Genomic DNA, 12,589 nt, shown 5'->3' with positions numbered 1-12,589 from the left:
AACAGATCCCAGAAGGAGCCTGGACATATTAGATCAGAACTTCCCAGGGAGCGGCCCAGGGATCTGGATTTCCAGTGCATGCCCTGCGGTGACCCTCACTCCAGAAAGCTCAGGCCCCACTGAGCTCCAGTGTTCTATCTCCAGACATGGATTACACCCGGGGCTACACAGCGAGACAGCGAACCTGTGCTGGGTCACCAGGTTGAGGGTGGTGGTGAGGTTAGTCTCAAAGCCCAGCCTAGTGGGGCTTCATGGCTCTGTTTTAGCCAAGGGGCTCTTGGATTGTCCCCGGAGGGGTCAAGGGTCTTTCCGCTGTCCTATTCAAAGTGTTTTAGGGTGAAATAATCATGATAATAGTCACAGCACCTGCTACGAATGAAGCAGGCGCTTATAGTCTAGAGAGCTACGGACTTTTGTGAATATTCTGTTTTAATCCTCACAATTGACCTTGGGAGGAAGGTACTATTTATCATCGCACTTCACTGATATGCAAACTGAGGTGCGACCAGGTTATTTTATTTTCTCCAAGTCCTGAAATGGTGCGCTGGGGCTCCCCAGCTCTACCCACAGGTACCTGCCTCCCTCCGGAAGGTGTGGACAGCACAGTGGTGGGCGGCCCAGCCCGGAGGGGGGACTTTGTGCTTCCATAGGAAGGGGTCTCAGAGCCTAGCATCTGGGTGTCCACCCAGGAAGGTGGGTGGGGCACAAGGTGGTCTCTGTTGTCCCTGCAGCTTCTGGGAACCCAGATGAAAGGCAGGAGTGTGGAGCACAGACCTGGGGTCTCTGTAGAATGTGCTGGAGGGTACCAGGAGCTAAAACTATGTGGAGCTGGGTGGGCCCAATAGAGGAGAAGGGAATAGGGGAGGGAGATTCATGAACTAAGTCCAGAGGTGGGGGATGGGAAGGGGAGGAAAGAGCTGATGGCTTTGGAACAGTGCTACTGAGAGAGGCAGGCACTGGGTCTCGGCACCACAGCGTGCCTTTGGTGGTCTCAGGTTCCATACAGGAACCCTGAAACGAAACAGGGAATGCCCTAAAGTGGCACCTCATATACTCTCCAGGTTTCTGGCAGCTCAGCAGTTGGGCTGGGGGTGCTTTCCTGTGCCCAATCCCTGGCACCCTTCCCACACCACCCCCACCCCCATAATGCAGCAGCAGAGAACCTCCATCTCACCGATGGGGGAACTGAGGCCCAAAGAGGTTGAACAGGGAGCCGATGGCCTGGAGCTTGCCTCCTTCCAAGGTTGTGAGTTGAATGGAATGGTCCGAAAGCCGGAGGTGTCCGCTATGGATCACCACCCTAACACTAAAACAGCAGCGGTATGACATTTATCAGATTCCTCCGAAATGCCAAGAACTGTGCTGGCAACTTTGCATTTTTATCTCATTAAATTGTCATGACAATCCTATGAAGTACTCTTAGTCTCCCTGTTTCACAGAGGGGGAAACTGAGGCTCCACCTGGAGGACATTTCTTGCGCTGGCTCTTTAAGAGTCTATGCCGGTGCTTCCAGCAGATGTCCAGGTTCTCCTCTTGGCATCTTACCCTGCCTCCCCCATGACCAGCTGAGTTCTAGTTGGCCAACTTTCATGAGACAGGGTAGCAGATGGGCATCTGGTACCCAGATCTCAAAGCTAGTCATGCCTGCCTCAGGGGTCTCGCCATACCCCAGAGTTTCTGCACCTGGGACCTCTGGCTCCTACTCTTTAATTTCCTCCACAGCCTCTTACCCAGATATTTTTAAATGGGGAGATTTAAAAAAATTTTTTAATGGGAAGAGTTAAAAATTTTAAAATGGGGCCATTTAAAGATGGGGAGAGGAGACAGAAGAGGATTCCGCCTTCTCCTCTTACAAGAACTGTTTCGTATCTTGCTCTCCTTTGTTAAGAGAGTTAAATAGCAGTTTGTAAATAGTACCTGGAGACCCTAGGATGCCAAATTAGTTGATGTGTGTTAATTAGCTCCTTGGGAAAAACCCAACACAAGAACATTTAAAGTCAGTGAAATCAGCATTATGTAGCTGATAGGGACACAGACTCTGAGCTCCTCCTGGCCTGCATGCCTGCATATGGCACTTCAGTCTCTGTGACCTTCGAGGTCATGGCCGCTGCCAGCAGTGGGGCTGGGAATCTGGCACGTGGAAGTCTCCTTGGGACCTCCCTGGCTTTGGGTGCAATCGGGGCTGAGGTTGGCACTGCTCAACATTGTGTAGAGCTCACCAGAGGTTCCGTGAACATTCAGAAGAAACAAATGCTGTCAAAGGTATTTCCCTTGGCCTGGGGCAGTGCCTCACCCTGTAATCCCAGCACTTTGGGAGACCAAGGTGGGTGGATCTCGAGGTCAAGAGATCGAGACCATCCTGGCCAACATGGTGAAACCCCGTCTCTATTAAAAATACAAAAATTAGTTGGGCGTGGTGGTGCACACCTGTAATCCCAGCTACTCAGGAGGCTGAGGCAGAAGAATCGCTTGAACCTGGGAGGCGGAGGTTGCAGTGAGCCGAGATCACGCCACTGCACTCCAGCCTGAAGACAGAGCAAGACTCTGTCTCAAGATAAAAAAATAAATAAATAAAAAATATTTCCCTTGAAATGCAGATGACTTTTCCCAAGTCTTTGCTTGGGAAAAGACAGAAGTGAGAATTCAGTTTTCTTGAAGATTCAGTGTAATTACTGTGAGCCTAGGGTAATGGAATGTCCTCAGAGAGCATAAAACATTTTCATCAATAACATACTGAGTGTTATGGAGGATTCCTTCTGTTCTAGTTGTTATTGTTATGGGAAAATTACCCAAAAACTTAGTGGCTAGAACTATATGATGTTGCTCATGGTTTTGTGGATTAGAAATCCAGGAAGATCTCGGCTCGGTGGTTCTCACTAGGGGTGTCTCATTTGACTGTGGTCAGATGTTGACTGGGTTGGATGTTCTAGATGACACATGTTTATAGCTGCTAGTAAATGCTGGTTGGTGTCTGGGAGCCCGGCTGGAGTATGGATTGGGGTGCCCACACATGGACCCCCAGCATGACCGCCTCAGGGCTGTCGGACTTCTTATGTGGCAGTGGCTTCCCCCAGAACGAGTGCCCCAGAGGACCAGGCAAAGCTGTGTAGTGTTTCACAAACTGGCCTGAGAAGTCACACAGTGGCATTTTCACTGCGTGCAATTGAATTCGGGGTCATAGGGCCACCAGATTCAGGGGAGGGGCACAGACCCAACCTCTCAATGGGAAGAGAACATGTGGGATAGGGGATGGGGTTTTGACCGTCTCGAATCTGTCCCCTCACATTTATGTAAAACAAGTGAAGGCTATTCATACGGCCTCAAGACTGGGACATCAATGCAATAGAGGATGTAGGTCTAGACTTTTCATGAGCTGCCATTCTTTCTGTTTGAAAGCCTTGAAAAGAAGTACCCACTGAAAATCCAGTCCAGGACAACAGAACACATTCATCTTGGGAGAAGCCTGGGTTACTTAGGGTTGGCGTCTCTTTCCAGGAAACAGAAATCAGGAAATATGCTAGACCAGGGAAGGGTATGAACAGTCAAATACCATTTTTCCTGCATCCCTTTGTCGGATCACTAGGATAATCCAGTGAGGTTGGGCACCCACCAGATTGGTAAATTGCATAGAAAATCTAACTAATAAGAGGTTCTAACTAACAAGCCTTTTGTCTGTTCCAACAGGAATCTGGAGGTAGGGAGTTCAAGGGAGTTCACAGAGGGTGCAACTGCTTAGCCACGTGATCAGGGCCCTGCACTTTTTCTCTGCTGCGTTCTGGTGTGTGTGTCCTCACAGTTACAAAAGGGCTGCTTCCCCTCCAGAAACATAACAAGGGCCAACCCCCTGACAGCCTTCCTATTTGCTGGCATTGCTTCAAGGGCTTTGCATGTGTTAATTCATTTAACCCTCCCTAACAACCTACAAGGAAGGTGCTTTTTTATAGCAAGAATACTGAGGCCCACGGCAATTAAGGCACTTGCTGGGGTCATAGGACCTGCAAGTGGCAATTCTGAGTATCAAACCAGGGAGATGGACTCCAGACACTTGGATTTAACCACCACACCAGCAGTATTTCAGGCAAAAAAATCACCTCTATCACCTCTGTCCAACAGTATTGCAGGCAAAAGAAGGGCAGAGGGAGGAGGATTCAGGGTTCTCCGAAACCGGCAGTTTATGCCTCATTGGCCAGAACTATGTCACAGAGTCACTTGTAATTTGGAGGAATCTGGTGGCGTTCGTGTGCTCAGCTGGGCTTATTGCTCCCCTCAAACAAAACTAGGGTTCTGTTAGAAAAAGAAGAGTGAAGAGTATTGTGGGGCAGTGAAGAGTGGCTGAAATGTAGCCCATTTATATTTCTGGGTCTCATTTTCCCTAGGTTCACCTTATAGTAGTTCTCGGAGCCCAGAACTCAGGGCTTCAGAAGAGATTTGGCTCATACAGAGGGGGATGGGTTGGCTCAGTGGCCAGCCGGAAATGTGGGTGACTGAGGGTCGTGGCCCAGTCTTAGCCATCAGTTAAATGTGTGAGCAGCGTCAGGTGTTCTCAACAGCTCCCATTCCTATGAGCACATGGCACCTGGACCCGTCATGAAAAGGGCCAGGCAGACAGCCCGGTCACCCTTGGCTGAAGCATGGGAATTGGCGTGCAGAGCTGTGCGCTGGCTCGGGCAGGCATCTGCAGCAGTGACAATGCTATGTGAGCCAGGCGGTCCTTCTAGCCTCCTTCCAGCTGGCCCGGAGCACCCCATGCCTGGGACATGCCACCCCTACGTGAGCAATGCTCTGTAGCCTCCTTCTGGTAATTTTTTAACGGCTCTACTTCAGAACTATGTTGAGCTCATTGTGTTTTGACATTCTAGGGAGAAAAAACCACTTAATTATCTGATCTATAAAGCAGCTCTTCCTTTCAAAAGGATTAAGGTCTTTAAAGCTGACATCCCATGCAGGCTGGCTGGGTCTGAGAAGTGGTTGGAGTCAGAAAGTCCTCTGTCATTTTCATGCGCGTCCGTGTGAAGAGCCCACCAAACAGGCTTTGTGTGAGCAACATGGCTGTTTATTTCACCTGGGCGCAGGCGGGCTGCGTCCGAAAAGAGAGTCAGGGAAGGGAGATAGGGGTTGGGCCGTTTTATAGGATTTGGGAAGGTAATGGAAAATTACAGTCAAAGGGGGTTGTTCTCTGCTGGGCAGGGGTGGATCTCACAAAGTACATTCTCAAGGGTGGGGAGAATTACAAAGAACCTTCTTAAGGGTGGGGGAGATTACAAAGTACATTGATCAGTTAGGGTGGGGCAGGAACAAATCACAATGGTGGAATGTCATCAGTTAAGGCTGTTTTTACTTCTTTTGTGGATCTTCAGTTACTTCAGGCCATCTGGATGTATGCGTGCAAGTCACGGGATGTGATGGCCTGGCCTGGGCTCAGAGGCCTGACATTCCTGCCTTCTTATATTAATAAGACAAATAAAACAAAATAGCGTTGAAGTGTTGGAGCGGCGGAAATTTTTGGGGGGTGGTATGGAGAGAGAACGGGTGATGTTTCTCAGGGCTGCTTCGAGCGGGATTAGGGGCGGCGTGGGAACCTAGAGTGGGAGAGATTAAGCTGAAGGGAGGTCTTGTGGTAAGGGGTGATATTGTGGGGATGTTAGAAGAAACATTTGTCGTATAGAATGATTGGTGATGGCCTGGATACGGTTTTGGATGAATTGAGAAGCTAAACGGAAGATACAAGGTCCGAATAAAAGGAGGAGAAAAATGGGTATTAAAGGACTAAGAATTGGGAGGACCCAGGACATCCAATTAGAGAGTGCCCAAGGGGGTTCAGCGTAATTACTTGCTTGGTTGGCAAGTTTTTGGGCTCTATCCTTGAGTTTTTTTATGTTGTCATACACCAGGCCAGATGCATTTAGGTAAAAACAACACTCCTCATTTAAGAATATGCAGAGTCCTCCTTTTTCAGCAGTAAGTCAGTCAAGGCCTTGGCGGTTTTGGAGGACAACTGCAGCTGAAGAGTCAACTTGGGCCTGGAGGACTGATAAAGTTTGTGATTTTGAGGGCCTCTAAAAGTATTAAAGCAGCGGCAGCCGCTGCACGCAGACATGAGGGCTAGGTTAAAACAGTAAGGTCAAGTTGTTTGGACAGAAAGGCTACAGGGTGTGGTCCTGGCTCTTGTGTAAGAATTACGACCACGCTAACCATGCCTAGGAAGGAAAGGAGTTATTGTTTTGTAGAAAGGTGCCGGGGTTTGAGAGATCAGTCGGACACGATTGGCAGGGAGAGCACGTGTGTTTTTATGAGAATTATGCCGAGATAGGTAACAGATGAGGAAGAAATTTGGGCTTGATTGAAGTAATGGGGGCTGTCTGTGAAGCCTTGCGGCAGTACAGCCTAGGTAATTTGCTGAGCCTAATGGGTGTCAGGGTCAGTCCAAGTGAAAGCAAAGAGAGGCTGGGATGAAGGGTGCAAAGGAATAGTAAAGAAAGCATGTTTGAGATCCAGAACAGAATAATGGGTTGTAGAGGCAGGTATTGAGGATAGGAGAGTATATGGGTTTGGCACCACGGGGTGGATAGGCAAAACAATTTGGTTGATAAGGCACAGATTCTGAACTAACCTGTAAGCCCTGTCTGGTTTTAGGACAGGTAAAATGGGGGAATGGTAAGGAGAGTTTATAGGTTTTAGAAGCCCATGCTGTAGCAGGCGAGTGATAACAGGCTTTAATCCTTTTAAAGCATGCTGTGGGATGGGATACTGGCGTTGAGTGGGGTAAGGGTGATTAGGTTTTAACGGGATGGTAATGGGCATGTGATCAGTTGCCAGGGAAGGAGTAGAGATGTCCCATACTTGTGGGTTAAGGTGGGGGGATATGAAAGAAAGACGCGAAGGAGGCTTTGGGTTAGCGAGAAGGGCAGCAATGAGTTGCAGCTGTAGTCCAGGAATAGTCAGGGAAGCAGATAATTTGGTTAAAATATCTCGGCCTAATAAGGGAACTGGGCAGGTGGGGATAACTAAAAAAGAGTGCATAAAAGAGTGTCGTCCAAGTTGGCACCAGAGTGGGGGAGTTTTAAGAGGTTTAGAAGCCTGGCTGTCAATACCCACAACAGTTATGGAGGCAAGGGAAACAGGCCCTTGAAAAGCAGGTAATGTGGAGAAGGGGTTCAGGGGTACTTGTCCCTACCCCAGGAAAGCGGCAAGTCCTGCCCCAGGAAAGCGGGACTTGCCGCTGAGGGTGAAGGAGAAAGGGTCGAGGGGTACCTGCCCCTGCCCCAGGAAAGCGGGACTTGCCGCTGAGGGTGAAGGAGAAGGGGTCGAGGGGCACCTGCCCCTGCCCCAGGAAAGCGGGACTTGCCGCTGAGGGTGAAGGAGAAGGGGTTGAGGGGCACCTGCCCCTGCCCCAGGAAAGCGGGACTTGCCGCTGAGGGTGAAGGAGAAGGGGTCGAGGGGCACCTGCCCCTGCCCCAGGAAAGCGGGACTTGCCGCTGAGGGTGAAGGAGAAGGGGTTGAGGGGTACCTGCCCCTGCCCCAGGAAAGCGGGACTTGCCGCTAAGGGTATAGTGAGGGAGGTTGGAGAAGAGAGTAAAAAGAGGCCGCTTACCGGATTTGAAATTGGTGAGATGTTTCTTGGGCTGGTCGGTCTGAGGACCTGAGGTCATAGGTGGATCTTTCCCACGGAGCAAAGAGCAGGAGGACAGGGGATTGATCTCCCAAGGGAGGTCCCCCGATCCGAGTCACGGCACCAAATTGCATACGTGTCCGTGTGAAGAGCCCACCAAACAGGCTTTGTGTGAGCAACATGGCTGTGTATTTCACCTGGGCGCAGGCGGGCTGCGTCCGAAAAGAGAGTCAGGGAAGGGAGATAGGGGTGGGGCCGTTTTATAGGATTTGGGAAGGTAATGGAAAATTACAGTCAAAGGGGGTTGTTCTCTGCTGGGCAGGGGTGGATCTCACAAAGTACATTCTCAAGGGTGGGGAGAATTACAAAGAACCTTCTTAAGGGTGGGGGAGATTACAAAGTACATTGATCAGCTAGGGTGGGGCAGGAACAAATCACAATGGTGGAATGTCATCAGTTAAGGCTGTTTTTACTTCTTTTGTGGATCTTCAGTTACTTCAGGCCATCTGGATGTATGCGTGCAAGTCACAGGGGATGCGATGGCCTGGCCTGGGCTCAGAGGCCTGACAGTCGTCTCAAGAGAGCCACTTAACCTTGGGGAGTCTTCATTTCAGCATCTGTAAAATGGGTATAGGACGCCTTCTTAAATTTAGTGCCAACCCAAGGGGGCTGGTGGCACTTGTGTGCTCCTTTCCCAGCAGGCATGATTGTCTCCTGTCCTGGAGACCATTTGATCTGGGGACATGAGCTTGAAGTTAATTTCTGCAACTGGCAATTTAGGGAGAGCCTGAATGTGCAAATAGAGCAATGGAACTCTCAGATGGAGCTCTGGCCCCTCATGTTCTGGTCAAGTGGCCCTGGTCATTTGACTTCTCAGTCTCTGTTTGGAGCCTTCAGTGGCTGTTCTGGGCTTCTCTATGGGGAGACATGGCCTTACTGGGGAGAGCAGCTGGGGATCTGGTCTCCAGGCTGGGGACGTAGAGGCAACACCCTGTCTCCACTTACATATTTACTTATTTGAATAGCTGCTATCTGAGCATGAAATGAAACAGCAATAAGATCTTACAAAAAAGTGAAATGAAAAGCAATCACTGCACCCCAACCCCTGTTCTGAATGAGCCAGTTTCTGGAGCTTGGAATGCCATGCGCCTGCAGCTGGCAACCCTCTGCTTGGTTCACCAGCTATGAAATCTGTTTCACACCGAAGCAGGTGCACGTGGCTGGTGGAATGTGCATTCAGCTCTCTTTTGCATCTGAACAGAATTCAACTGCCTCTGAATGTTGCTCTGAGCAGATCAGCAGTGATGATTGTTTTTCAAATTCACTCTCCTCACCTCCCCACCCATGCACACAGATACTCACCAAAGTCTCCTGTTGCTGTGGTTTGGCTCTGTGTCCCCACCCAAATCTCATCTCAAATGGTAATCCCCACATGTCAAGGGAGGGACCTGGTGAGAGGCAATTGGATCATGGGTGCTGTTTCCCCCATGCCGTTCTTGTTACAGTGAGGGAGTTCTCATGAGATCTGATGTTTTAAAAAGTGGCAGTTTTGTCCAGGTGCAGTGGCTGACGCCTGTAATCCCAGCACTTTGGGAGGCCGAGGTGGGCAGATCACCTGAGGTCCAGAGTTCGAGACCAGCCTGACTAACATGGAGAAACCCCATCTCTACTAAAAATACAAAATTAGCCAGGCATGCTGGTGCATGCGAGTAATCCCAGCTACTCAGGAGACTGAGGCAGGAAAACTGCTTGAACCCAGGAGGTGAAGGTTGCGGTGAGCCGAAATCACATCATTGAACTCCAGCCTGGGCAACAAGAAACTGTTGCCTGTCTCAAAAAACAAACTCTGTCTCAAAAAACAAACAAACAAAAGTGGCAGTTTTTCCTGCACTTTCTCTCTCTCCTGCCACCATGTAAGATGTGCCTTGCTTCCCCTTTGCCCTTCATGATTGTAAGTTTCCTGAGACCTCCCAGCCATGCAGAACTGTGAATCAAGTAAACCTCTTTTCTTTATAAATTACCCAGTCTCAGGTATTTTTTTAGAGCAATGTGAAAATGGACTAATACACCTTCTCCCTGATGCCAGTGACCATCAGGGGAGTAAGCCACTTTACATCAGTGCTGTTGAACATTTGATGCCAGTTCTTCATCAGCCAGCTGTCTCCTTTATTCTCTTTCAGTGGCCAGTACCAAGCTACTGTTTGAACTAGTGCATAGAAATATGCACATATTAGGGAATTAGGCCAAGTTAGAGGATGATGGAAACATGTTTTCTCTAATGAATAAATAAATAAGGATGATATCCAGATCCGTCCACAATGAGCTCCGTGTCAAATCCTTTCTGACTCAACGATCACCAAGGTCACTCCTGGTTTTTAAGTTCTGCAATTCTATATTTTGCCAAATTAATTGCAGCACATTTAATCATTATTAAGAAAGTATACTTTCCGAAGGGGAAAAAAGCATGTTTAAGTAATTAATATACATGGCGAATATGTTGGAAGATTATATGAGAAAAATACTTTCAGTTCTTTGAAAAGCCTGAATATGATTATTTTAATAGGAAAATAATTAACAAAGGATAAGGATGTTATGAAAATCCTGTACATCAACTAACATTGTTATGCATAGTGCATATATTATACTGTATCTCATATGCATTATAATGCATATAATATGCAATAATTATTATAACACATTGACTAATTATGTCACAATATTAATTATAACTTACATTGATTGGTTCCCTATTAAATGCTACGCACTTTACTTCTGTCTCCATATATAAGACTTCTCTAGCCCTATGTATTGGATGCTAATATTATCATCTCCATTTTATAGGTGGCGACACGGAGGCCCAGAGTGAGGAAGTCATGTATTCAAGGTGGCAGAGCTGGGATTTGTATATCATCTCTGTACCTGAGCCCCTAACCTGCAAGTCATAATAGGCAACGGATCAATGTAAGTTATAATTAATATTGTCGCATATATCTATTATTAAGTTACAATAATTATTACATATTCATTATAATGTATATGAGATGCATGATAATACGTGCACTATGCATAACAATGTTTGTCGATGTACAGGTACATCTGTAGGATGCTGTCATTAGACAGTCATTTAAAACTGTATTCCTGGCTGGTCCAGTGGCAGTAGATTTCAGAATTTATTAACATTAGTGTCACTAAAGTTGGTATACAATCCTTCACTGCTAAATTTGACTGGCTAAAAAATACTTCAAAAAAATAGAACTGTATTCCTGTTTCATAGATTTTCATGTAGACATTTCTCATATATACTCAGCTATACTTGGTCCTAATGTTAATGCAAACAAACATCAGATAATTCAATTCAGGAAAAACCTAGCAAGGATCCCCAGACGCCAGGCAAGTTTCCTCATCCACTCAAGGCAGTCTGAAATGGACCAAGTAATGTTCCCACCCTCTGGGTTCTCAGCATCTTGTTCTGCAGAGGGCCCACCTGAGGATATGAATCTAAGGTGCACACGTGCTTCATTCATTCATTCGTTCATTTATGCCAGAAACTGGTATTGCCTGCATTGTCCATTGGCAGCATTGCACCTGCCACTGCTTATACAGAGAGAGATCAAGTCTCTGCCTCCTCCCTCTGGGAGGATCCACACAGCCAACTAAAGAGACAGGACTGTGGCCAAACAACCCCAGAACGGGCACAGGCATAGAACATACACAGAGAGGGGACATGGCCTTTTCCAGGGGAAAAAGATGCCAGATTACGTCTTTGAAAGAGAGGAGCATGGGAGGTGCTGTGCGGCGGGAACAGAATTGTGGGCTGGAAGGGAATGCTCAACCACCTGGAGCTCTGGGTTCCAGACTTTGGGATTTTACAAATCATGACAAGTTCCCTTCAAATTGAAAAAGAAATAACTTGGGGGAGCTGACTAGAGTTGTCAGACTTTTGCTTTTGTTTTTGCCAACTGTGGACCTTAAATTTACCCACTGCTGTTGCTGTAGTTTCATAAAATGGCAGGCTAGCGCTTCCAAATTAGAATGTGCAGGTCTCATGGTGCCTCCCTACGCACCTGCCCTCTGTAAGGCTGGGCTTCTCTGTGGGAGAGATGTGGCCTTGCTTGGGAGATCAGCTGGGGACCTGGTCAGAGGTAAGAACAGAGGGCAGGGGGTAAGGGACCACCGCAGCCTCACTGTGACAGTTGGCCTGCCCAGCTCAAATGGCCAGCACCTGCTTTTCTTTGCATGGGGCTGCCTCTGGATTTTGCCACCTGCACAGCAAGCTTGAGTTCCTGGGAGTTCACGCATGCACACATGCATGCACATGCACACGTAGGCACCAGCAATCTTTGAGCAACGACCACCCAGAGTTGGTGTATTGCAGCTGTGTCTCCTGGGGAACTCTGAGCATCTGTCTACACTGGCTCCCAGGGTTTCAAGCAGGGTTGAGCTCAGTGCCCACTTGGTAAGTAGGCCAATGACTGCTCACTATCAATTGCCCTCTGTCCTCATTTCTCTTCCTCACCCATTCACTGACTTTCCTGGGATCGTCAGCTAAACAAACTCGGTTCCTCTGCATCTCTTGGGAGAGGACCGAAATTAAAACAGTCCCCAAAAAATCTGGCCACCTATCTCAGGCACAAAGGCTTCCCTCAGACCAGCCTTCCATGTAAGATGCTCCTAAGAAGTAAGCAAAAATGAAGTACCTACAGCCTCCTGGCGACTTTCACAGTTACAACCATCCCATGTGAAACTCAGGGAATGTCGTGGAAATAACCTTCCCTGGAATTTGCCCAGCTCCAGGTCCTGGAGTCTTCGGGAGGGTTTTGTTCTTAGCAAAAGGAGACCTGCCCAGCTGGCCAGGATGCTTGGCTGTGAGGAATAAATGCAGGGATTTTGTGAGAAGTCACTTTTAGCTGACATTGGAAAGGGGGTTCTGGTAGGGGCCAACTGTTTGTCTCAGGTGGGGGCTCTCCATGCTGGGGAGTG

At 48.1% G+C, this 12,589-nt stretch overlaps 1 long non-coding RNA gene across 1 annotated transcript in view, besides 3 other annotated features; it reads left to right on the top strand.

Moving 5' to 3' along the window:
• Nucleotides 1-25: 25 nt before the first annotated feature.
• LINC01081 (long intergenic non-protein coding RNA 1081) overlaps nucleotides 26-12,589 on the top strand; it is a 60,668-nt gene continuing 48,104 nt past the window's right edge. The window contains exons 1-2 of the long non-coding RNA NR_104139.1: nucleotides 26-219; nucleotides 10,451-10,570. This is a non-coding gene — a long non-coding RNA (long intergenic non-protein coding RNA 1081). The remainder of the gene's footprint in view (nucleotides 220-10,450; nucleotides 10,571-12,589) is intronic.
• Nucleotides 437-1,122: an enhancer, noted in NCBI's record as "H3K4me1 hESC enhancer chr16:86318757-86319442 (GRCh37/hg19 assembly coordinates)". NCBI's record gives its function as "activates a minimal SCP1, AML or CMV promoter by ChIP-STARR-seq in primed H9 embryonic stem cells {active_cell/tissue: H9 hESC(primed)}" and the evidence as "EXISTENCE:reporter gene assay evidence [ECO:0000049][PMID:30033119]".
• Nucleotides 4,126-4,626: an enhancer, noted in NCBI's record as "H3K4me1 hESC enhancer chr16:86315253-86315753 (GRCh37/hg19 assembly coordinates)". NCBI's record gives its function as "activates a minimal SCP1, AML or CMV promoter by ChIP-STARR-seq in primed H9 embryonic stem cells {active_cell/tissue: H9 hESC(primed)}" and the evidence as "EXISTENCE:reporter gene assay evidence [ECO:0000049][PMID:30033119]".
• Nucleotides 4,627-5,127: an enhancer, noted in NCBI's record as "H3K4me1 hESC enhancer chr16:86314752-86315252 (GRCh37/hg19 assembly coordinates)". NCBI's record gives its function as "activates a minimal SCP1, AML or CMV promoter by ChIP-STARR-seq in primed H9 embryonic stem cells {active_cell/tissue: H9 hESC(primed)}" and the evidence as "EXISTENCE:reporter gene assay evidence [ECO:0000049][PMID:30033119]".

The sequence above is a fragment of the Homo sapiens genome, chromosome 16 (assembly GCF_000001405.40).
Source record: "Homo sapiens chromosome 16, GRCh38.p14 Primary Assembly".
In the NCBI taxonomy this organism is placed as follows: domain Eukaryota; kingdom Metazoa; phylum Chordata; class Mammalia; order Primates; family Hominidae; genus Homo; species Homo sapiens.
Note: the sequence above shows the minus strand (reverse complement) of the source record. Positions and strands in the feature narration are given on the sequence as shown.